The 26,013-nt window shown below is 34.7% G+C and overlaps 1 long non-coding RNA gene across 1 annotated transcript in view, besides 1 other annotated feature; it reads right to left on the minus strand.

Moving 5' to 3' along the window:
* Window positions 1–22,641: 22,641 nt before the first annotated feature.
* The window catches only part of LINC02476 (long intergenic non-protein coding RNA 2476), a 287,946-nt gene continuing 284,574 nt past the window's right edge, over window positions 22,642–26,013 (minus strand). Inside the window, exon 5 of the long non-coding RNA NR_131960.1 lies at window positions 22,642–23,966. This is a non-coding gene — a long non-coding RNA (long intergenic non-protein coding RNA 2476). The remainder of the gene's footprint in view (window positions 23,967–26,013) is intronic.
* Window positions 23,938–24,483: an enhancer, noted in NCBI's record as "NANOG hESC enhancer chr7:119260780-119261325 (GRCh37/hg19 assembly coordinates)". NCBI's record gives its function as "activates a minimal SCP1, AML or CMV promoter by ChIP-STARR-seq in naive H9 embryonic stem cells {active_cell/tissue: H9 hESC(naive)}" and the evidence as "EXISTENCE:reporter gene assay evidence [ECO:0000049][PMID:30033119]".

Genomic DNA, 26,013 nt, shown 5'->3' on the forward strand with positions numbered 1-26,013 from the left:
ACGGTGCACAGAAAGGGAATTTACTGACTCCTGTGCTGATTTCATCACACTGTGGATTCCCTGTGGGATTTATCTTTGTGGTTTTCCCTTGATTATCAGACTGTGCACTGATAATAGATACATCATATAACCAGCAGAATCCCCAACATGGTTCCCTGACACATGAAGTGAGTCCTGTTATGGCAGAAAGAAACTGAAGCTGACACTCACACCTGCCACTTATTCTCATCCCAAAAAAGATAGTGAGACAATATAAATAAATAAATAAATAAATAAATAAAAAAAAAAGAAAGAAAAGAAAAAAAAGTTGCATTATTAGGGGGATTTGCAGAGATTAACACTGATATTAATAACTTGGAAGAATCATTTTTAGAGATTTTTACTACATCCCCAGTTAAATCATCCCACTTATGAGTGAGAACATGCGGTAATATAATGTACATGATGAGTTAATCGGTGCAGCAAACCAACACAGCACAGGTACACATATGTAACCAACCTGCACATTGTGCAGATGCACCCTAGAACTTAAAGTATAAAAACAAAGAGTGCCTGTGGTCTATGTGCATAAGTGTATTTTTGTGGAAGCAGATGTCATTCTTTTGATTCAATGTTTAGCATTCCTTTTAGGACCTCTGGTAAGGCTAGTCTAGTAGAAATGATTTCCTTTTGCACTTGCTTCTCTGAGAAGAAGTTCGTTTCTTCTTCACTTATAACATTTAATTTGGCAGGATATGAAATTCTTGGTTGGAATTTCTTTACTTTAAGGATAAATAAAATAGGGTCCCAATCACTTCTGTCTTGTAAGGTTTCTGCTGAGAGTTCTGCTGTTAGCCTGATGAATTCTCCTCTGTACTTGGCTTGACCCCTTTCTCTAGCTGCTTTTAAGATCTTTTTTTTTCTTTTCCATTGATCTAAGTGAATCTGATTACTATGTGCCTTGGGGATAGTCATCTTGTATAGTTTCTAGATGGGGTCCTCCATCTTTATTGGATTTGTATATGAATGTCTCTATTGAGATTATAGAAATTTTAATGAACTATATTCTCAAATATATTTTTCAAGTTGCTTATTCTCTCCTTTTCCTTCTCATAAATGCTAATGAGTCACATATTGGGTCTCTATACATAATTCCATATTTCTTAAAGGTTTCAATTTTTTTCAAATTTTTTTTATTATTTTACTTTAAGTTCGGGTTTAGATAGTATTCTAGGTACTTAAGAAAAAACGTGAACAAGACATATATGTTACAAGAGAGTTTAATTTCTAATTACAAAGTTATCCATATATACTTAAAAATGAAACTTCAATTATTATTAAATTTTATATATCATACAAGAGGCAGTATCAGAAATTAAACTACAAGTCCAGTTTATTTATTTTATTTTATTTTAAAATTTTACTTTAAGTTCGGGTTTACATGTGCAGAATGTGCAAGTTTGTTACATAGGTACATATATGCCATGGTGGTTTGCTGCACCTGTCAACCCATCATCTAGGTTTTAAGCCCCACACACATTACGTATTTGTCCTCATGCTCTCCCTCCCCTTGCCAACCACCCCTCAACTGGCCCCGGTGTGTGTTGTTCTCCTCCCTGTGTCCATGTGTTCTCATTGTTCAACTCCCACTTATGAGTAAGAATATATGGTGTTTGGCTTTCTGTTCCTGTGTAAGTTTGCTGAGGATTATGGCTTCCAGCTTCAACCATGTCCCTGCAAAGGACATGATCTCATTCTTTTTATGGCTGCATAGTATTCCATGGTGTATACGTTCCACATTTTCTTTATCCAGTCTATCATTGACGGACATTTGGGTTGGTTCTATGTTTTTGCTATTGTAAATAGTGCTGCAATAAACATACATGTGCATGCATCTTTATGGTAGAATAATCTATATTCCTTTAGGTACATACCCAGTAATGGGATTGCTGGGTCAAATGGTATTTCTGATTCTAGATCTTTGAGGAATTGCCACACTGTCTCCCACAATGGTTGAACTAATTTACATTTCCACCAACAGTGTAAAAGCGTTCCTATTTCTCCACATCCTCTCCAGCATCTGTTGTTTCCTGACTGTTGTTTAATAATTGCCATTCTCACTGGTGTGAGATGGTATCTCCTTGTGGTTTTGATTTGCTTTTTTCTAATGATCAGTGATGATGAGATTTTCTTCATATGTTTGTTGGCCACATAAATGTCTTCTTTTGAGAAGTGTCTGTTCATATCCTTTGCCCACTTTTTAATGGGAATGTTTGTTTTTTTCTTTCAAATTTGTTTAAGTTCCTTGTAGATTCTGGATATTAGACCCTTGTTAGAAGGGTAGATTGTAAAAATTTTCTCCCATTCTGCAGGTTGCCTGTTTACTCTGATGCTAGTTTCTTTTGCTGTGTGGGAGCTCTTTAATTAGATCCCATTTGTCAATTGTATCTTTTGTTGTAATGGCTTTTGGTGTTTTAGTCATGAAGTCTTTGCCCATACCTATGTCCTGAATGACATTGTCTAGGTTTTCTTCTAGGGATTTTATGGTTTTGGGTCTTACGTTTAAGTCTTTAATCCATCTTGAGTTAATTTTTGTATAAAGTGTAAGGAAGGGGTCTAGTTTCAGTTTTCTGCACATGGCTAGCCAGTTTTCCCAACACCATTTATTAAATAAGGAACTCTTTCCCCATTGCTTGTTTTTGTCAGGTTTGTCGAAAATTAGATGGCTGTAGATGTGTGGTGTTATTTCTGAGGTCTCTGTTCTGTTCCATTGGTCTTTATGTCTGTTTTGGCACCCAGTACCATGCTGCTGTGGTTACTATAGCCTTGTAGTATAGTTTGAAGTCAGGTTGCATGATGCCTCCAGCTTTGTTCTTTTTGCTTAGGATTTTCTTGGCTATATGGGCTCTTTTTGGGTTCCATATGAAATTTAAAGTAGTTTTTTTCTAATTCTGTGAGGAAAGTTGATGGTAATAATATCGAATCTATAAATTAACTTGGGGAGTATGGCCATTTCATGACATTGATTCTTCCTATCCATAAGTATGGAATGTTTTTCCATTTTTTTGTGTTGTCACTTATTTCTTTGAGCTGTGGTTTGTAGTTCTCCTTGAAGAGGTCCTTCACATCCCTTGTAATCTGTATTCCTAGGTATTTTATTCTCCTTGTAGTAATAGTAATTGTGAATGGGAGTTCATTCATGATTTTGCTCTCTGCTTTTCCATTGTTGGTGTATGGGAATTCTTGTGATTTTTGCACATTGATTTTGTATCCTGAGACTTTGCTGAAGTTGCTCATCAACTTAAGGAGTTTGGGGACTGAAACAATGGGGTTTCTATATATAGGATCATGTCATCTGCAAACAGAGACAATTTGACTTCCTCTCTTCCTATTTGAATACCTTTTTTTCTTCTTCTTGCCTAAGTGTGTAGGCCAGAACTTCTAATACTATGTTGAACAGGAGGAGTGAGAGAGGGCATCCTTGTCTTGTGCTGGTTTTCAAAGGAAATGCTTCCAGCTTTTGCCCATTCAGTATGATATTGGCTATGGGTTTGTCATAAAGAGCTCTTATTATTTTGAGATATGTTCCATCAATACCTAGTTTATTGAGAGTTTTTAAAATTTATTTTTATTAATTTATTTATTATTTAATTAATTTCTATTATACTTTAAGGTCTGGGATACATGTGCAGAACGTGCGGGTTTGTTACATAGGTATACATGTGCCATGGTGGTTTCCTGCACCCATCAACCCGTCATCTACATTAGGTATTTCTCCTAATGTTATCCCTTCCCTTGCCATCCACACCCTTACAGGCCCCAGTGCGTGATATTCCCCTCCCTATGCCCATAAGCTCTCATTGTTCAGCTCCCACCTATGAGTGAGAACATGTGGTGTTTGGTTTTCTGTTCCTGTGTTAGTTTGCTGAGAATGATGGTTTCCTAAAAAGGACATAAACTCATTCTTTTGTATGGCTGCAGAGTATTCTATGGTGTATATGTGCCACATTTTCTTTATCCAGTCTATCATTGATGGACATTTGGGATGGTTCCAAGACTTTGCTATTGTGAATAGTGCTGCAATAAACATATGTGTGCATGTGTCTTTATAGTAGAATGATTTCAGCAGCACATTAAAAAGCTTATCCACCACAATCAAATCAGCTTCATCCCTGGGATACAAGGCTGGTTCAACATATCCAAATCAATAAACGTAATTCATGACATAAACAGAATCAATGACAAAACCACATGATTATCTCAATAGATGCAGAAAAGGCCTTTGATAAAATTCAACACCCCTTCATGCTAAACACACTCAATAAACTAGGTATTGATGGAACTATCTCAAAATAATAAGAGCTATTTATGAAAATCCCACAGCCAATATCATACTGAATGGGCAAAAGCTGGAAGAATTCCCTTTGAAAACTAGCACAATACAAGTATGCCCTCTCTCACCACTCATATTCAACATAGTATTAGAAGTTCTGGCCAGGGCAATCAGGCAAATGAAATAAATAGAAAGTATTCAAACAGAAAGAGAGGAAGTCAAATTATCTCTGTTTGCAGATGAGATGATTGTATATTTAGAAAACCCCGTCGTCTCAGCCTATAAACTCCTTAAGCTGATGCACAACTTCAGCAAAGTTTCAGGATACAAAATTACTGTGCAAAAATCACAAGCATTCCTATAAACCAATAACCGACAGAGAGCCAAATCATGAGTGAACTCCCATTTACAACTGCTACAAAGAGAATAAAATACCTAGGAATACCACTTACAAGGGATGTGAAGGACCTCTTCAAGGAGAGTTTTTAACATGAAGGGATGTTGAATTTTGTTGAAGGCCTTTTTTGCATCTATTGAGATAATCACGTGGTTTTTGTCATTGGTTCTGTTTTTGTGATGGATTACATTTATTGATTTGCTTATGTTGAACCAGACTTGCATCCCAGGTATGAAGCCAACTTGATCATGGTGGATAAGCTTTTTGATGTGCTTCTGGATTTGGTTTGCCAGTATTTTATTGAGGATTTTTGCATTAATGTTCATCAAGGATATTGGTCTGAAGTGCTCTTTTTTTGTTGTGTATCTGCCAGGTTTTGGTATCAGGATGATGTTGGCCTCCTAGAATGAGTTAAGGAGGAGTCCCTCCTTTTCAATTATTTGGAATAATTTCAGAAGGAATGGTACGAGCTCCTCTTTGTAACTCTGGTGGATTTGGGCTGTGAATCCATCTGGTCCTGGGATTTTTTTGGTTGTTAGGCTATTAACTACTGACTCAATTTCAGAACTTGTTATTGATCTCTTCAGGGATTTGACTTCTTCCTGATTTAGTCTCGTAGGGTGTATTTGTCCAGGAATTTATCAATTTTTTCTAGACTTTCTAATTTATTTGCATAGAGGTGTTTATAGTATTCTCTAATGGTAGTTTGCATTTATGTGCAAACAGTGGTGATATACTTTTTTTCATTTTTTATTGTGTCTATTTGAATCTTCTGCCTTTTCTTCTTTATTAGTCTAGCTAGCAGTCTGTATATTTTGTTAATTTTTTTCAAAACACCAGCTTCTGGATTCATTGAGTTTTTGAAGGGTTTTTTGTGTCTCTAGCTTCTTCAGTTCTGCTCTGATCTTGGTTATTTCTCGTCTTCTGCTAGCTTTTGAATTTGTTTGCTCTTTCTTCTCTAATTCTTTTAATTGTGATGTTAGGGGGTTGATTTGAGATCTTTCCAGCTTTCTGATGTGGGCATTTAGTGCTATAAATTTCCCTTTTAACACTGCTTTAGCTGTGTCCCAAAGATTCTGGAACATTGTCTCTTTGTTATCATTGGTTTCAAAGAACTTCTTGATTTCTGCCTCAATTTTGTTATTTACCCAGGAGTCGTTCACGAGCGCTGAAATTGAATCAGTAATATAAAACCTACCAACCAAAAAGAGCCCTAGGCAAGATGGATTCACAGTTAAGTTATATCAGATGTATAAAAAATTGCTACCAATCCTACTGAAAACATCCTGAAAAAAATTAGGAGAAACGATTACTCCCTAATTCATTATATGAAGCCAGCATCAACCTAAAATATGACAGAGACATGATGAGGAAAGAAAAATTCAGGCCAATATTCCTGATAAACACGTGCACAAAAATTCTCTGCAAAATACTGGCAAACCGAACCCAGCAGGATATCAGTAAGTTAATTCACAATTATCAAATACACTTTATCCTTGGGATGTATGACTTATTCAGTCTATGCAAATCAACAAACGTAATTCACAACATAAACAGAATTAAAAGCAAAAACTATATGATCACCTCAATAGATGCAGAAAAAGCTGTCAATAAAATTCAACATCACTTTGTGATAAAAACTTTCAACAGACTAGACATAGAAGAAACATACCTCAAAATAATAAGAGCCTTCTACAAAAAATCCATAGCCAAGATCATACTGAATGATTAAAAGCTGGAACCATTACCCTTGAGAAATGGAATAAGATGAGGATGCACACTTGCATTACTCCTATTCAACATAGTACTGGAATTCATAGCCAGAGTAATCAGACAAGAGAAAGAAATAAGGCATACATAAATGGGAAAAGAAAAAATCACACTATCTCTTTGCTGCTGCTGATTCTATAGTTATAAAACACTAAAGACTCCACCAAAAGTCTAATAGAACTGTCAAATAAATGTATCAAGTTTTCAGAATACAAAATCAATGTACAAAAAGTAGTAGCATTTCTATATACCAATTATATCAAGCTGAGAATCAAATCAAGAACACAATCTCATTTACAATAGCCACACACACAAAAATGAAATACGACTGCAGCTAACCAAGGAGGGGAAAGATCTCTATGAGGGGAACTACAAAACACTGAAAGAAATCAATGATGATAAAAACAAATAGAAGATTATCCCATGCTCATAGATTGAAAGAATTAATATTATTACAATGGTCATTACAGATTCAATGATATTTCTATCAAACAACCAACATCATTCTTCACAAATTAGAATAAAAAACTATTCTAAAATTCATATGGAACCAAATAAGAGCAATAGCCAAAGAAATCCTACGCAAAAAGAACAAACCCAGAGGCATCACACTAATGAACTTCAAACTATAGTATGAGGCTACAGTAACCAAAATAGCATGGTACTGGTGCAAAAACAGACACATAGACCTATGGAACAGAAAAGACAAGGCAAAAATAAAGCTGTACACTTACAAGCATCTGATCTTCCATAGGGCTGACAAAAACAAACAATTGGGAAAGGACTCTTGATTCAATAAATGGTACCGGTTTAACTAGCTAGCCATATGCAAAAGAATGAAACTGTACACTTACCTTTCACCATATATGGAAATTAACTCAAGATGGATTAAGATTCAAATGTAAGAACTCAAACTATAAAAATCCTTGAAGAAAACCTAGGCTATACCCAAAATGTACAAGTGAAACCTAATTAAACCAAAGAGTTTTTTTCACAGCAAAAGTAACTATCAACAGAGCAAACAGATAAGAAAAATGAGAGAAAATATTCACAAACTTTGCATCTGACATAGGTCTAATATCCATAATCTATAAAGAATTTTAAAAATTCAACAACCTCAAATAAATAATTTTTTTAAGTGTGCAAAAGACATGAACAGACACTTCTCAAAAACAGATACTTCTACTAAAATTTTGAAAAAAATACATAATATCATCACATGCATATGATATCTAAGTAATTTTGTCTAACTTGGAACTAAATAAGTTCATTTTATTCAGCATAGAATTATTCCTGCACCCTCAGCATCAACCTTTAATTTTGGAAACAGGGTAAGAAACACACTTTTAAAGTTTTATATACCTTTTGTCCCTAGTGAGTTTCAGGAACACACCAACTGTGAAGAAGTTCTAAGCCCTTAAAGAACATCTCTTTCATGGGGAAAAAGTAATCACTCAAGAAACAACCCCAGCAAAGTGAAAAATGTATCTAATAAAATCAAATAGGGAGGCAAGTAAAAAAGAGTTATAAGTGAATGTGACCTGAAAACATTAAAAGTGGAAATGTGTGTGACTAGATAGGATTTGATTGTCAGTTCAGACTCATATGAATCAGACCAAACTTTACTAATTAATTGTAAGAATAAGAAAATCAAGGGATTCTGACAAGGCATAGAATGGTATAGGACATCAAAGACATTTTATACTACCTAGAGAATTGTGTATCTCAAGTGATATTTTTCAAGGAGCTCTACTTCACAGAACTATAGGTCCTGGGTTTTACTTACTAGATACCACATGTTAGCCAGGGATATTATACTAACAGCATTTCAGAGATGAGGTACCTTTCTCTGAGCAAATATTATTAATCTCTTTCTTTACCAGTGCAATTGACAAGAAGATTAGACTAGCTCCTATGGCTTCTTATCTTATTTCCCTAGATGCATTCCTCTAGAAGAGTTAGTAAATGGATTTCAGGTCAACTGTTTTAACTCCTTTCTCTTAGAAAAGAAAAGAAAATACATTAAGAACTGAGAATTAAAAGATTATTCTTTGACTGGATAAAAGATTTAAAGGCATATGATTCTAAATCTATGGATCCAGTTACACTAATTGGTTAGATTAAAAATAGTATCTATCAAATATAATATTGTAATATGTGATTCTTTTTTATAGTTATAACATCTAAACAAAATTGGAAGTGCCTAATTGAGTTATAAAACAGTATATAATTCTACAAATCTTTAAAATGTAAAACCAGTGTTTCAGAAACAGATAAGATGGAGTAAATACACACCTCCCTTAATTCAGAGGACAATTATTTGAAAACTCTAAAGAGAAAATATGAGCAGACAAATCAGGGAAGAAAACCAGAATTTGTACTGTAACAAACCAGTTGTGAGTGTACCACTTTTCTCTCTCTGGCATCCTCTGACCTGTACTCAATGTAATCCAAAACCCATAAGTGAGCAATCTGGGGTAGGATGAGAGACTAAAATCCAGAAGAATCTCTTTAGTCCTGGCTTATGGAGTAATTAAAAAAACCCCACAAGTTCTAGATTATTATAACTGCATTATTTTGCCATATTATTATATTTACACTAGAGGACAATACAGTAATTTTTTTATTAACAATGGAAACCAAACCAAACAAACAAACAAAAACAAAAACAAACTTAAAGACACCATCCCAGCAGAAGAAATGTGAATTTATACTAAATACAAAATAATACAAATACATCAGACAGATATCCAAAAGAGCGTGTCTTTTTCCTACTGAATATTGAATAAAAATAAAATATGCACACAATGTGGGGCTGTCACTGAATGTTCTGATCAAACCTCTAAAGAACTAAACATAGATAATGATGAGTTGTGTGTGTGTGTCTGTGTGTAGTTCTGAGCATGTACTTGTGTGGGGAAAAGAGAATAAAAATAAGTAAAATCAAATTTCGCCCCAAAATAATTATTTTTCTTTGTAACGTAAGTATATATATCACACTTTGTTAATCAACATCAGAACCCATTACAGGATAGTTTCCTGGGTGGTCTTAGATTGACCAGCCTGGCTCTCCCCACTTTCTAGTTTGAAATTCTCAAGAATAACTATAAAATGTACTGGGAATGCAACATCCTGAAATAAGAGTAGAGCTGGCTGTAATGGCCCGGGATGTGTTTTAGCTTCCTCCCAGAAAAGGATGTAACTCAGTGCTTTAGCTCAGTGATTCATATTACCCCAAGGTATATAACCCAGAGTGGGATACCTTTCAGGGTCCCTCAGCTGCAGTTCAAGTGGGAAACATGCAGCAAAGACTTCATCTGCCCCAGGCAGCTTTCTGACCCTTGAAGTACTGGCTCACAATAAATCCCAGACTGCTGTTGTCTCTTCCTGCCTATCTGTATGTAATGAGCATGATTTATATAATTTGTTGATTATGAGTGTGTTCTGTCTCACTAGGCTCAGACAAGTTGATAACCAGTGCACAGTCAACCAGCTCCACACCCATGTCTAGCTTAAAAAAAAAAGAGAGAAGAGGAAAGTATTTTGGAAAGAGAAGAAAAATAAAAAATAAAATAATAATAATAAAAAAACAGGACCAGAAGTATATTTTACTGTAGGGCACTAGAAATGAGCTGAAATTAAAAGAAATATATTATTTTACATGATAATGTACATTTTTCTCCCAACTTCTACTTAAGATAGAAAAATCTGAAAGGAACATACCTCCAATCACTATGACAAGAAGAAAAGCGATATAATCTATGTAACCATAGTTTTTCTTCATCCCATCAGATACCTGAGGTCACACAGCAAAAAACTAGCATTAAACCTAAGACAAGAGAGACACTACCAGGGAGAGATGTGAATGTAAGCTCTTGTTACCTGAGGCAGATTCTGGGCGCTATACAAACTAGTAATAATAATTCAGGTAAAATATTTAATGAATGTTTCAAAGCTGAATGTGGGATAGGCTGAGAGTATACTGATACTGGAGCATAAAAAACAAGGGAAATTACACCCACCTACATCTTTTAGCAATACATCTCACAGGCGCTCACTAGAAAGATTGGTCACAAGGCAGGGGACTAGAGAAAGCTTCGCACACATGGCAGGCTTAGGAGAGCCAAGGAACAGCCACTGCAGGATGAATTGACTGGAGGGATCCGAGACCCACTCTCTTATTTTTCCTTCTGAACAAAAGCCTGAAGACACTGGGGTAGGATGGTAAACGTTACCATACTCAGGGTATAGGGTGAAGACCATTACCACTGGAGGAAATAAATAGAAAGAGAAACTTTGGGCTTTGGGACCCAGACCATAGCAGATCCCCTATCATTGCAGATGTGAGAAATATTGATTTTCTCTCATTCCTAACACCCAGGGATGGACCACATGCCTAAGACTAAGGCTGAAATGAGCAAATAGAATTCCAAGTAACAAAAAACTTTAGTCCACTATTAAGGAATAAGAAGAAGGAAGAAAGAGCATCTTTGAGGTGCAGGATTATAGGGGAAACCTAAAGCTGAGGTAGAAGAGAAATATTGAGAAAATGAGTCAAGCAACCCAGCAATCATCCAAAATACATGAAACATTAGAAGAGTTTGAAGCATGCGGAGGTTCACAATGACAACAAAAATGAAAATAAGCTCAACTCCTGACTAGATCATGTCAACTCCTCACACTAAAGGCCTATCAAAAGAAGGGGGTCTGTCACACAAGAAAGTAAACATAACTATGCTTAATATGTTAAAGGCTGTTACATGATATGCATTAACATATCGGGAATTTCAGCTCTGCAACTAAAACCTGTCGAGGTAGATACAATGCAACAGAAGGTTTCTACTAGTGCTTCCGGGTGGAACTTCCTGCGATGATGGAAATGTTCTATCACTCTTCTGTGTCCCATATGGTGGCCACTGGGCATATGTGGATGTTGAGCGCTTGTAATATAGCTGAGTAACTGAAATTCTAGGTTTATTTAATTTTACTTAATATACATTTAAATAGCCATATATAGCTAATGGCTACTACATTGGACAGCTCAAGATAACCACTTTCTTATGAAAAATCACTACTCCCTCAATTAAATAACTCCTACTTAAGGACCTAGAAATCAATTGTGTCTAATTAGATTGTTCACAGAGATTAAAAAGAAAACTGAAATTTGACTATCACAGCAGGATATAGGATGTATTTATTCTTTTAACTTTGTATTATGCAGTCATTCTTCTGTTTCACAAGAATTTTAGTAGGAGTTTTCAGAATGGGTTGTGTAACCTTTTGAATATTTACTGGTTCTTAAATGCAATAGAAATACAATACACAAAAAAACACAATTCACTAGAAAACACGAATATTTACCTTTTTTATCCTCATAGAATAAAAATAATAACAGATTATTGACAGAAGATTTACCTGGTTAACCCTCTGATGATTTCTGTACTAAAATATATTTTACTAAAATATTTAAAATAGCATTCTTTCTTAAAATATTTTAGAGATCATAATTGATTTGCAGTTTTAGTATTCTATTCCACTGTTTTTTAAACTAATGTGAGTTATAGCTAAATACTTTTATATTGAAAAAATTACTTGTGTTTTCCTTTGATTTTTTACAGAAAACTTACATAAGTAGTATTTAGATAAATGAAAAACCAGAAGTAAACTCTTCTTGTAGGAAATCATCTTTTTTTGGTATAAACTCATGTATCTCATCTAGACAATCAGTGCTTTTATTTTTGTATCATATGTATTTTATTTAGTAGAATAGCTCATCTAAACAATTATTTTATTTTTATATTATATATATTTTATTTAGTCAAAAAACAAAAGGTGAATAGTTTAATAAAAATCAGCAATAAACAAATTATTAGAAAAGATATTTTTCTTAGAGCAGGAAATACTAGTTTATCTTTTTAAACTATCAAATGTTGTTTCGATTTTTACCATGAATACTTTTTGCCTCATTTACCAGAGTGGATATATGCCTTGAATATATGCTCTTGTACATACCATTTACCACAGAGTAGTGTATGGCAGGAGTAGTGGTGGTAAATTATATGTGCAAGGACATATATCCAAGACTACAGCCTAAATAAGCACCATAACAAATATTGAACTTGTGAGGGGTAGGGGGTAATGGGAGGGACAGCATAAAGACAAATACCTAATTCATGTGGGGCTTAAAACCTAGATGATGGGTTGATAGGTGCAGCAAACCACCATGGCACATGTATTCCTGTGTAACAAACCTGCACATTCTGCACATGTATCCCGGAACTTAAAGTATAATCTAAACAATAAAATAAAATAAAATAAAATAAATAAATAAATAAACTGGACTTGTAGTTTAATTTCTGATACTGCCTCTTGTATGATATATAAAATTTAATAATAATTGAAGTTTCATTTTTAAGTATATATGGAGAACTTTGTAATTAGACATTAAACTCTTTTGTAACATATATGTCTTGTTCACGTTTTTTCTTAAGTACCTAGAATACTATCTAAACCTCCCAGTCTAATTATGCCTATAAAGCAGCAAACGCTTAGAAAGGTGTTCACAAAATTTTAATCTTGGAAAAAACCTCAGACATAATCTTGTTCATATGCCTGCATTTAACATTAATCACTCTTCTTTTTTCATTTGTGAGTATTTGAGCTTATAAATACATCTACTAAAAAAAAGAAAAAAAAAGAAAAATTAAAAAACAAAACAAGATTCAGTATTACCCTACTCTTACCTTAAAAAGCAATACAGGAAATAAATATAGGCTATCCAGACCTATAAGCTAGATGTGGCCTTGTTAGTCCCCATCTTTGACTTTCCACACCTTGTCCCATTTCACCCCATTCTCATCTATGAACAACTGTTTTCCTCTCATTAATCAATTAAATAAACATAGAAGAGTGATGTTCAAAATATTTAATAACAGTAAAATTATACATGTATGATCTTGTCAAAGCAGGGCATTAAATCATCAAATAGTGTCAGTCACAAATATATTGTACATACCGCCATATGGGTATAACTCATCTAGATAACAGTCCTGAAAATGTAAAAATTTATAAGAAAAATAGAAATAATTCTAGAAGTATGTGTCAAGTGTTGTGCAAAATCGTGATATTTGATTTTTGCAATATACGATAAGATACGACTCTCTTCTATCAATATTAGAACACTAAATCTTGGTGAAATTAAGTTACTTTCATGAAAGTAACTGCAGAAGGTAGAATTAGAATGTAAGTCTTCAGTTAAAGTTCAGTTTTGGTTTGTTACATCAAACACGGGAAATGTGTAAAAATTAAAAGAACCAAGCTAATCTCATAAGAGATAAAATCTATAGTTATATATAGTTAATATATATGAAGAAGTATTTTCTTCTTCTTTCCATTGTTGTTTTATTTCAAGGATATTTGGAAATGGATTATAGACTAAGAAAACCTGTAACAAGCACACATGTACATGTTTGTATGTTTGTTTCTCTTGGAGTAGAGAGACTTCCAGGAGAGAAGTGTTATAACATGTAAATGAATGATCAATAATCACACCTGAAAATGCAGATAAGGCCTTTGCAAATGCATTATTTTAGAGGACAGTTCCATAGATTTGGAAATATCTCACTGCCCCTGGGCTGTTCTCTGCCATCTCCTTCGATTAATCCTCTTAAGCCAAGCTTCACATTGACCCGCTTCCCCAGTGAGGTTTCAGGTTTCGGCCTCCACAGCTCCTCTCTATCCACGCCTTCACTGACCCATAGGCCTCATTATGGTTCCCACCAAAATGCTTACGATCATTTGTCTCATTATTTCCAATCTTTTCTGACCATATATTTTATAAACATGTCTCTGTCATAAATGTGTTTAATATAGTGGCTGCCTCAGCATCTATTTTTAGGCCAACATAGTTATTTGAAACCCAGTTGTACCTGTCATACTTGGTCTAGTTGAAACTTCTCCTTTGCAATATAGTCTGCTTGTTCCTCACTCCCGTGAGGCCAAAACAACACACCCACAGCTGCTAACCACAATAAAACCTAATGGTCAACATTAGAGTCATGTAAATAATTTTCTCTTTTTGGGTGTGATTTCCTTAACCTAGCCAATTTATAACCCTAGGGAAAGCCTAAAGATAATGCTCAGGGACCTTATTAAAGTCCCACAGGTCCGGTCTCTCTCCCTCTTCCTCTCCCTCTCCCTCTCCCTCTCCCCCTGGTCAAGCACCCAGCTATCTCTGGACTTCCCATGGGTCATCAGGGGCAGTCCTCTTCTCTCATGGATCTATGAGTCATAAAGTGCTTCTATTCCTTCATGTGTTTTGTCATGCTGCCTCCTCTGTGTCTTGCCAGACAGACACACTCAAATCTAACTCTCCTCCCTGTCAGGCCTCTCCTAGAGTGTCTATCTTGGTATTCAAACTGGACACAGGTCAGACAAAAAACCACAAGGGCATCTGATGATATCAACCAGGTGAGAGGGACACCTGGTCACAGGTTGAGCACCTGGGCATTAGGCTGTCTGCCAGGATAACAAAGTTTCCTGTGAAAGACATGCTGTAAACATCCATGACCACCTTCCCTCGAGCCCTGTCAGGGCAGAGCTGAAATTTATAGTCACTCTCCAGAGAGAGACAGGAAGACCAAAATTGAGAAAAATACAACAGTCTCATTAAAGTTGATCCCATTGTCCATTTTCTCTGTAATGTTAGCTTTTCAGGCATATATATAAAATATATTTATTTACACATAATTGTACCTTAAGCTTTATAATTCAATATATTATCAAATAAGAATACTATTCCCCATTAAGACATACATAAATCTAAGGGTTTATAAATATTAGCAACATTTTGATAGACTGGATAAAGAAAATGTGGCACATATACATCATGGAATACTATGCAGCCATAAAAAAGTATGAGTTCATGTCCTTTGCAGGGACATAGATGAAGCTGGAAGCCATCATTCTCAGCAAACTAATACAGGAACAGAAAACCAAACACCACATGTTCTCACTCATAAGTGGGAGTTGAATAATGAGAACACATAGACACAGGGAGGGGAAGATCACACACCAGGGCCTGTCGGGGGTGGGGGGCTAGAGGAGGGATAGCATTAGGAGAAATACCTAATTTAGATGATGGGTTGATGAGTGCAGCAAACCACCATGGCACGCGTATACCTATGTAACAAACCTGCACGTTCTGCACATGTATCCCAGAACTTAAAGCATAATAAAAAAGGGTTAAACTTATTAAAAGTACAATTTTGTGATTTCTAAGTTATTGATTTGAGTCATCTATAGAAAGCATGTTTATTATGTAAAAACAACTGCAAAAATCCCTGAAAAATTAGTTGGTTCAAAGATCTCTAAATATTCCTTAGTAGCTACGTGAGTGGACAAAATATGAGCACACATAGCTGCCAATTAAAATATCCTTTAGAAAACTATACATGTTTAAATACAGGATATTTCATGAGAGTTTGCAATTAACTGCAATTCCTTTAGTGAAACACATTTTTATAATATAGTAATTATGTTAGAAAAATTACATCAGAATACACACGTGTATTTTTGTCAGGGTATTCAATTTTTGTAGCCCAGAGGGCAATGGTTTTCAGAACTTTCACAAGACCATTGAATTTAGGTTAGTGGTGAAGCCTACAAAATGATAGGCTAGAGTCCCCAAATTCAAGCCTCATAAAGCATGTTTATATATGTTTACAAATTATACTAGAGGCTTGTATTGCCTCAGAGTTCTGGGTAAAATAATTGTACAGAAGTATAAAGAATTCAAACATAAGCCCTTTTGTTTAGCCTAAGAAACAGCCCAGGCTCCAAGTATTGCCTCCTCGCCATCACTTTCTAACTACAGCAGATAGTCCTCTTAAAAAACTAAATGTTTGTTGGGTTCATACACATGAGTCTGAAACATTATTCTCATAAGCCTGATGTTTAATACCAGTTCTAGGGTGTTTATCGTAATAATTCTCATCTTCACACAACCCCATATATCCACATCTTTCTTACACAAGTTCACTCAGGAGCATGTATACATGCCCACATAAACACACACACACACACACACACACACTAACACACAATTTGAAAATGATGGAGGTTGGGCTTTCAGACACTGGTCATGTGACCTCTGAAAGTGCACTGCTTTTGTTTGTTTAGATGTTTGTTTTTGTTTTATGACACTAAATCCTTTAGAAGAAAAATACAATAGATTCATGAACATGAATGTCTTCAGCAGATATTGTATATGCAAAAAACTGAAACACAATAATCTCTTGAAGAAAACATTCTTTCTCCTGAAACTAATGCATAGACTGTTTTCCTTAAAAGGGACGTTTGCCATGAGTAAATTATACAAAGTTCTTGTAAAATAATGCATTAATAATTTGAGAATCAATTAAAAATTTTTGTGTTTTGGCGGATATATATTTCACTTATACAGATTATCTTTATTAAATGTTAAAACAGTAATTATTGCTTGATAAAATAGACATTCAGTTATTATATTTTATGGAAGATCCATATCAGAAGAATATCAGAAATAATTTCAAAATTTGCCTCCCCATTAATCTTACATGACTGTTGTTAATGAGATATCTTCCAAAAATAGTCTGGAAAGCTGAATGAGTGGCGAAAACTTTAAAATTACTTGATAAATACCATTACATAACAAATCTTTAAATAAAAGTACCAAATAGACTTTTAGGATGAGTAGTACAATTTCTCTTGTGCCAAAAAGACCTGTCTTTGAAATAAGTAAGGTAAGCTAACTACTGATAATTTGGCACCAGCAATAGATCTGGCTGAAGTTACTTGGAGTTATTTGCTGGTCTCTAAGATTACATTTTTATGACCATAAACACACTCACCTTCTAAAACTGAAGCAGGTCATTTCAGCACAATTATATTCAACAGAGCAGTATCTAAACAAATCAGTGTTTGGTAACCTGAGCCAACACAAGATATTTTAGGGCAGAAGAGTTAGCTAGAAAATAACATTTTCTAACAGAATCAGTCAGAGAGAAAACAACCCATCAGGTGGGAGACATCCCAGTGCAATTATTGCAAAATATCCACCTGGCTGACTGAATAATCATTTTAGAGACAATCAAAACTGTTGAAATTGCACCTCATTGGTTAATGATTCCATTATAGCTGGAAGGCTTACACCAATGAAAAGGGATACAGAGTTTATATTTCAAAATATTAAAGCAGACAAATTCCTTCATTGACTATTATGACATCAAAATAATATATTTGGATACAAATTATGACTTGCACTGGGTGAATATTGTGGCTGACAACTAACCACCTTATTATTTTTATTATTATTTTCCCCGTAGCTCACAATGACTTCCCCTTGTTCCCAGGGTTGGCAAATCACTGCCTTTGTTTCTGGCTAACCTAGAACCCTTAGTTCTATTCATGTCAGGTTTGTGTTCTCTATTATACTTAGGAGAAGGTGATTTCCTAATACATAATATAATAATTTTTCTGAAACAAATATAAATATACTCTAAAAACACCTACATAAATGGTCATTAATGTTAAAAAAATGCAGAGAAATAATTCAATGTCATAATTTTTTAAAGTTTATCAATATCCCTCTACAAGTAAGCTTCTAGATAAAGCCACTGTAAATTACATTCACATTTCCTAATAAACCTTTGCTCCCATAAATGTATTTCTCCTACAGCAGAGCTTGAATGTATTATTCAATATTGTATAACAAAATGACAAAAAAAATCAATCCTGGAACATCTGATACTTATTCCTTTATAAAATGAGAGCAAATATTGTGTCTATTATGATTTATTAAAGTTTGCTAGAAAAATAATCCATAAATAGTATATAAAGTTTGGCTTGGAGAAAAGTAACATCTTAGTAGACTTTTAGATCCTGTATGATAAAGGAATTTGATTCATTTTCACATATTTTAATGTCCTCTTTAGTCACTTAATTATTGTTTGTGACGTGCTTTCTTGATATATAAAAATAGGAAAAATAAATATATTTTAAGTTTATTACATCATACTTTATTTAGAAGCCACATGACTCAGAAATTTGCCAAGTATTTTATTTAGAGTGTGTTTTTGTGTGAGTTGACAATACAAATTGTAGCTTTAAAAAAAAATTAGGTTCAGGGATATGTGTGCCGATTTGTTATATAGGTAAATGGCTTCTCATTGGGGTTTGGTATGCAGATTATTTTGTTACCCAGATAATAAGCATAGTGATGAATTGGTAATTTTTTTTTATCCTCATCCACCTGTTACCATCCTCCTTCCTCAAGGAGACCCCATTATCTGTTGTTCCCCTCTTTATGCTCGTGTGTTATCATTATTTAGCTCCTACTTTTAAGTGAGAATATGCTGTACTTGGTTTTCTGTCACTGCGTTAATTTGCTTAGAATAATGGCCTCCAGCTGCATCCACCTTGGTGCAAAAGACATGATCTCTATGGCTGTGTAGTATTCCATGCTGTTTACATACCACATTTTCTTTATCTAGTCTACATTTAGGTTGATTCCATGCCTTTGCTACTGTGAAGAGTACCTCAATGAACACATGCACACATGTGTCTTTATGTTAGAATAATTTATATTCCATTGAGTATATATCCAATAATGAAATTTCTAGGTCAAATGGTAATTCTATTTTAAGTTGTTTAAAGAATTGCCACAGTGATTTACATTTAAAATTTTAAAATGTAAATTTTAAACTAATTTGAACTTCCACCAACAGTGTATAAGCATTCCCTTTGCTCCACAATCTTACCAGCATCTGTCATGATTGGAATTTCTAGTAACAGCCATTGTGACTGGCGTGAGATGGTATCCCATTGTAGTTTTGATTTGCGTTTCTCTAATAGTTAGTGACTTTGAGCTTTTTTTCATATGCTTGTTTGTTGCGTATATGTTTTCTTTTGAAAAGCACCTATTCATGTCCTTTGCTCAGTTTTTAATAGGGTTGTTTGTTTTTTGCTTACATATCTATTTAAGTTCCTTAGGGATTCTGAATATTAAACCTTTGTTGGATACATAATGTGCAAATATTTTTCTGATTCAGTAGATTACTTGTATACTCTATTGATTGAATGATTCTTTTGCTATGCAGAAGCTCTTTAGATAATTAGGTCTCATTTGCTAATTTTTTGTTTTGTTGCAATTGCATTCGGAGTCTTTGTCATAAAGCCTTTGTCAGGACCTATGTCCAGAATGGTATTTCCTAGGTTTTCTAGATATTCTTCTAGGATTTTTATAGTTTCAGGTTTTACATTTAAATCTTTAGTACCTCTTCAGTTGATTTTTATATACAGTAAATGTAAGCAATCAAGTTTCAATCTTCTGCACATAAAAAATCCTCAGCAAATTAACAAAAAACCTGAAATCATACCAACTACAGTCTCAGATCACAGAGAAATAGATAAACATATCAATACCAAAAAAATCACTCAAAGTTATACAATTGGATGGAATTAAACAACCTGCTCCTGAATGACTTTTGGTTAAATAATAAAATAAAGTCAGAAATCAAGAAATTTTTTGAAACTTATTCTAGCACCATTTATTGATTAGGGAGTCCTTTCCCCTTCACTTGCTTCTGTCAACTTTGTTGAAGATCAGATGGTTACAGCTGTGTGGCCTTATTTCTGGGCTCTCTATTCTCTTCCTGTGGTATATGTGTCTGTTTTTGTCTCAGTAGCATGCTGTCTTGGTTACTGTATCCTTGTAGTGTAGTTAGAAGTTGGGTAACTTGATGTCTCCAGCTTTATTCTTTTTGCTTAGGATTACCTGAGCTATTTGGGTTCCTTTGTGGTTCTATATTAATTTTTAAAATAGCTTTTGCTAACTCGATGAAGAAGTTTCTAGAACTAAATGTCCACATCAAAGAGTTAGGAAGAGATTAAATTACAACCTAACATCATAACTAGAGGAACTAGAGAAACAAGAGCAAACGAACCTCAAACCTAACAGAAAAAAAGAAGTAATCAAAATCAGAGCTGAACTGAAGGAAAATAAGACGTGAAAAAACATACAAAAGATATATGAATCCAGAAGTTTCTTTTCTGAAAAAACTAATAAGGCAGATCACTAATTGGAATAATAAAAGAAGAGAGAAGATCCAAATAAATACAATTTGAAATGACAAAGGGGACATTACAATTGACCCCACAGGGAAGTAAAACAAACAAACAAAAACAAAACAAAAAAAACCGTTAGAGAGACTACAATAAATACCTCTATGAACACAAACTAGAAAACCAGAAGAAATGGATAAATTCCTGGACACATACACGCTCCCAAGGCTGAACCGGGAAGCAGTTGGAAATCTGAACAGCCCAATAATAAGTTCCAAAACCGAATCTGTAATAATAATAAAAAAAAGCCTACCAACAAAAAAAGCCCAGGAACAGATAGATTCAGCCAAATTCTATTAGAAGTATAAAAGAAGAACTGGTGCCATTCCTACTGAAATTATTCCAAAAGATTGAAAAGAATGGACCCCTCCCTAACTCATTCTATAAGGCCAGCATCATGGTGATACCAAAAAGAGGCAGAGACACAGCAACAACAAAAGAAAACGTCAGGCCAATATTCTTGATCAACATAAGTGTTTATGATCAATAAAATACTGAAAAACCAAATCTAGCAGCACATTAAAACGCTAATTCACCATGATCAAGTAGGTGTTATCCCTGGTATGCCTCATTGGTTCAACATACGCAAATCAATAATGTGATTCATCATATAAACAGGACTAAAAACAAAAACCACATGATTATCTCAATAGACATAGAAAAGGCTTTTGAAAAAATTCAACCTCCCTTCATGTTCAATACCCTCAACAAACTAGGCACTGATAGAACTTACTTCTAAATAGTAAGAGCCATTAATGACAAACCCACAGCCAACATCATACTGAACAGGCGAAAGCTGGAAGCATTCCCCTTGAAAACCGGCACAAGAAGAAGTTGCCTTCTCTAACCATTCCTATGCAACATACAATTGGAAGCACTGGGCAGAGCAATCAAGCAAGAGAAAGAAATAAAATAAAAAGCATCCAAATAGAAAGAGAGGAAGTCAAACTATCTCTGTTGGTAGATGATATGCTTCTATACCTGCAAATCCCCATAGTCTCTGCCCCAAAGCTCCCTGATCTGATAAACCATTTCAGCAAAGTTTCAGGATACAAAATCAATGTACAAAAATTAGTAGCATTCTTGTACACCAACAACATCCAAGCTGATAGCCAAATCAAGAATTCAATTCCATTCACAATAGCCACAAAAGAATAAGCTACCTAGCAATACATCTAACCGGGAAGATGAAAGATCTCCACAATGAGAACTACAAAACATTGTTTAAAGAAATCACAGATGACATAAACAAATGGAAAAACGTTCCATGTTCATGGATAGGAAGAATCAATATTGTCAAGCAGTAGATTTTCAATGCCACCTGTCAAATGCTCCCCAGGTTGACTCTGCCTTCTCTCTCTCTACTATGACTTGTGCAATATATCAGCAAAAGAAAAATAAGTGAGAGGAGTTTTTGGATGCAGAAAAGTTTCTCAGATCTAGGTGACAGTGAAATAGTGAATATCAACACTTTCAGTTTTCCAAAGGCCAATAATGAAGAAACAAAAAAAATTTTAAAAATAACTGAGAGCAATACACACTGAGAAGCAAAATTTAGGGACTTTGAGAAGAGGAATCATGTCATTGCAGCCTGCAGGATTGCATTCTGAGAATGAGACACTTGCACTAAAGCAAAATTAAGATGGAGGTTGAAGGATGGGTTTTGTTGATTAATATTATTTCTTTATAATAACACTAATAAGAAGTAGAATTCAATATTCTAAATAGCAACTATCAGTTGATTTTAAGGATTACAATATAAATTTATGTCAATTGATTGTATTTATAAAGTATTTTATAGCTATTTAAAAATATTATGTTTTGCATTTGAAATAATATTTTGGAATTATAATTTAAATAATGAAATACATAAAGTTGTCATTGTTAGTATTTAAAATAGATTACCTAATTTTATGATAGTTTGAGTTTTAAAATGTCAATACTACTTAGAATGCTTTCATACACCTAAATGTGAAAAAAAATAGAAAAAGTTTAGAGATAATTATCAACCTATTTTTTATTTCTGCAGCCCACAAGACAAATGTGACACCAAAATTTCATAACTTAAAAAGCACATTAGACCTTTCCTGACAATATGATGCACCTCCAAAATCATAGGCAGCAATACTTTCAAAAATCAGCTCCACAGCTACCTCACAAAGACTTACCTCATTTTGATGATTTCTTACAGTTCTAAACACTGTCATTGTAAGACTGTTCTGTACACAACCTTAAGTTCCAAAATGAGGAAGGACATTTTCTAGGCTTCATACTGTGTTTGGAGAGAATGAGGTTAATATTTTCCCTCAGCAGTGAGGATCTGCAGTCCAGCATCTTTAATATAGAGACTGCCAGGGGAACAGGAAGCAATGATGGGAATTACTTTTTCCCTTTTCCCTCTGTGAAAACTATGAGGAATATGTCTAAAAGGGTAAAATGATTTAACTTAGAGATTGGGTAGAAGATTACATTTCTTACTCTTTTTCTTCTCATTGCTGATTAAAACCCTCTTCTACCTCCAAAGCAACAACTTGTCTTTGAGATTCAATTCTCTATTTTCTCTGGGGAAATACAAACACTAACTTGATCTTTATTTAGCAGTAATCTCCAAAGTGTAGCACGTGTATACAATTACAATGACTTTGTAGCAGTTCTCTAAGTTCCTTCACTTAGAGAACAACCTAAGTGCTGATATTAGACTACTTAGGTTATCATCCTATCCATTTATTTGTTCATTCAGGAGTTCAGTCAGGCTTTAGAGCTTTCACCCGGCAACGGTCAACTACCAACTAGACATATAGGTTTCTGGGAGACAAAACGTAGATAACATGTGATTCACATCTTCCAAAAGTTTAGTTTCAGGAGAAGGCAAATATGTGAACAAATAATCATGATATAACTCATAGTGGGATATTTGAAGTGTGAAAAAATAGATCCTAGAATACAGATTTCTAAATCTATGAATTCTATGCTTCATAGCACACGCGTGTGCACGTGCACACACACACACACACACACAGGACAAGATCAAGAAAACAAATAGTTGGCCAGGCATGGTGGCTCACGCCTGTAATCCCAGAACTTTGGGAGGCCTATACAGGTGGATTAGCTGAGGTCAGGAGTTTGAGACCAGCCTGGCCAACGTGGCAAAACCTTGTCTTTACTAAAAATACAAAAAAGTTAGCCTGGCATGGTGGCAGGTGCCTGTAATCACAGCTGCTCGGGAGGCTGAGGCAGGAGAATCTCTTGAACTCGGGAGGCGGTGGTTGCAGTGAGCTGAGATCGTGCCATTGCACTCCAGCCTGGGCAACAAGAGCAAAACTCTGTCTAAAAAAAAAGAGAGAGAAACAAAACAAATAGTTTATACTTGGGCTTTTTTGACTAAAATCTTAAGAATCTGCTCCTGGTGACTGACACTGGAACATACAAAGAACATCCCTCTGTAAAAACAGTTGTCAGATTAGCGCCAAGAAACAAAGCAGGCCAGAATGGCCTCTTTCACTGTTTTAAAAGCATGCAATTGGATTTTAGCACCTTTTGTTTCAACACAGTGATGGTTATAAAGAAACCTGCAGAGGAAAAACAAAACATATAAAAGAAAATGCAAACAGAGCAAGAGATTCAGGAAGATTTGCTTCTTACCTTTAACAGTGCTGGTCTTCAATTGCTGCCCTGAAACTTGAGGGCAGAAACGTAGAGCACCAGTCTCACGCTTTCGTGATTCTTAGGACTCATGGAAGGAAGGGTCTAGGAATACAGACAGACAGGACAGCAAGGGAGAGAGAGAATGTGTCTGTGTGTGTGTGCGTGTGCGTGTGTGTGTGTGTGTGAGAGAGAGAAAGAGAGAGAGAGAGAGGTGCTCACCGACCATTCTCTCTTGAAGGTAGCCTGAAACCTTCCCATTTCTAGACAAATAAAGTATTTCAGAGGACCATCTGAAAGGTGAACCATGGTTCCTGCTAATTCAGAGAATGACCTCCTACCTATTTAGGAACAGAATTAGGTAGAATTGGGAAAGGGAAAAAGCTGAGTCCCCTAAAAGCTTACAAGTTGTAATAGAGATATCTGCAAAGTGCTGAGGTGGTTTGCAATGGAAAAGAATTATTAATTAACTTTGGGTAGGGAATTTAAAAAAAAAGTTAAACAGACAGTGATATTTGGAGATAAGCATCCTTAATATGTCCACAGATATCCTGGAGCAACTCTGATTATCTCAGCAATCAGATTATGATAGCTGGAACCATTTCTGTGAATCTCTCTAGTCCCGTACCTGTTCTGTAATGTATGAGAACATTTGCATCACCTTAAGATACACTCATGTTGAAAACATGTTTGCTAAATAATTATAAAGGCCACAGAAACTTGATCAGGAAAGTAGTGAATTGTGGCACAAAGCTGGAATATGCTGTCTTTTCCTTGGATCAATTTTTTATTTATTTGCATTTGTATTAAAGTTTCTCCATGGTAGCTTGAGAATATTTTTGTGTAAAATAGTACATAAAATGAAACCCTGAAAGCTACCAGAACTGCTTTGCCAATATTGTGCATGCTATGATGAGACCACTAGATATACCTACCTTCATTCTGCCTTCTGATTTGCCACCTAAACACTTTCATGTGTCAAGATGAAATGGTGCATAAACAGAAGCTAGAGCTTGACTCAGAAAAACTCAGTTCAAGCTTATCCGCTGCCCTTCTAGGTTTGGAAATTAAGTCATGTAATTTCTCTGGCTGGCTTTTACTTCACAAAGTTGTGATCATCTATTCAAAAAAACAATATATTTGATATCCTCATATGCTACTAATAGTATTAATAGGAAATAATTCAGAATATTAACACTTTCTAACTTTCCAAACTATAAAAATGTGTAATGTTAATCAGATACATGAAAATGGTATTAAACAAAGGTATTTGAAATAGATCAGATTATAAATATATACCAGCCCTAAGTCTGTCTTAATATATTTATCCAGTCTATTTTAATTACTGGTGTTTCATTTCCTTAATAAGTGTAATCCTCATTGGGTGGAGTGTTCACTGCTCGGGTGATGGGTACACCAAAATCTCAGAAATCATCACCGAAGAACTTATTCATGTAAACAAATACCACCCATTCCCCAAAATCCTATTGAAATTTTAAAAAGTGTAATTCTGTATTTTAGCTCTAAATAATGAAAAAGAATAAGAAAAATGGGGAAGACTATCTGCAATGATTGCAACTTTTTACAAATGTTAATGAAACACGCTTTTATATATTGTGGCATTGATTTTGATTGGCTTACAATTTTGATTGTGTTTTCACACATAATTTACATTTAATGGTTATTTTTCAAGAGGAGACAGATATTTATATAACTAGGAGCCTTTCATAGA

Source organism: Homo sapiens, chromosome 7 (assembly GCF_000001405.40).
Source record: "Homo sapiens chromosome 7, GRCh38.p14 Primary Assembly".
NCBI classification, from domain to species: Eukaryota; Metazoa; Chordata; class Mammalia; order Primates; family Hominidae; genus Homo; species Homo sapiens.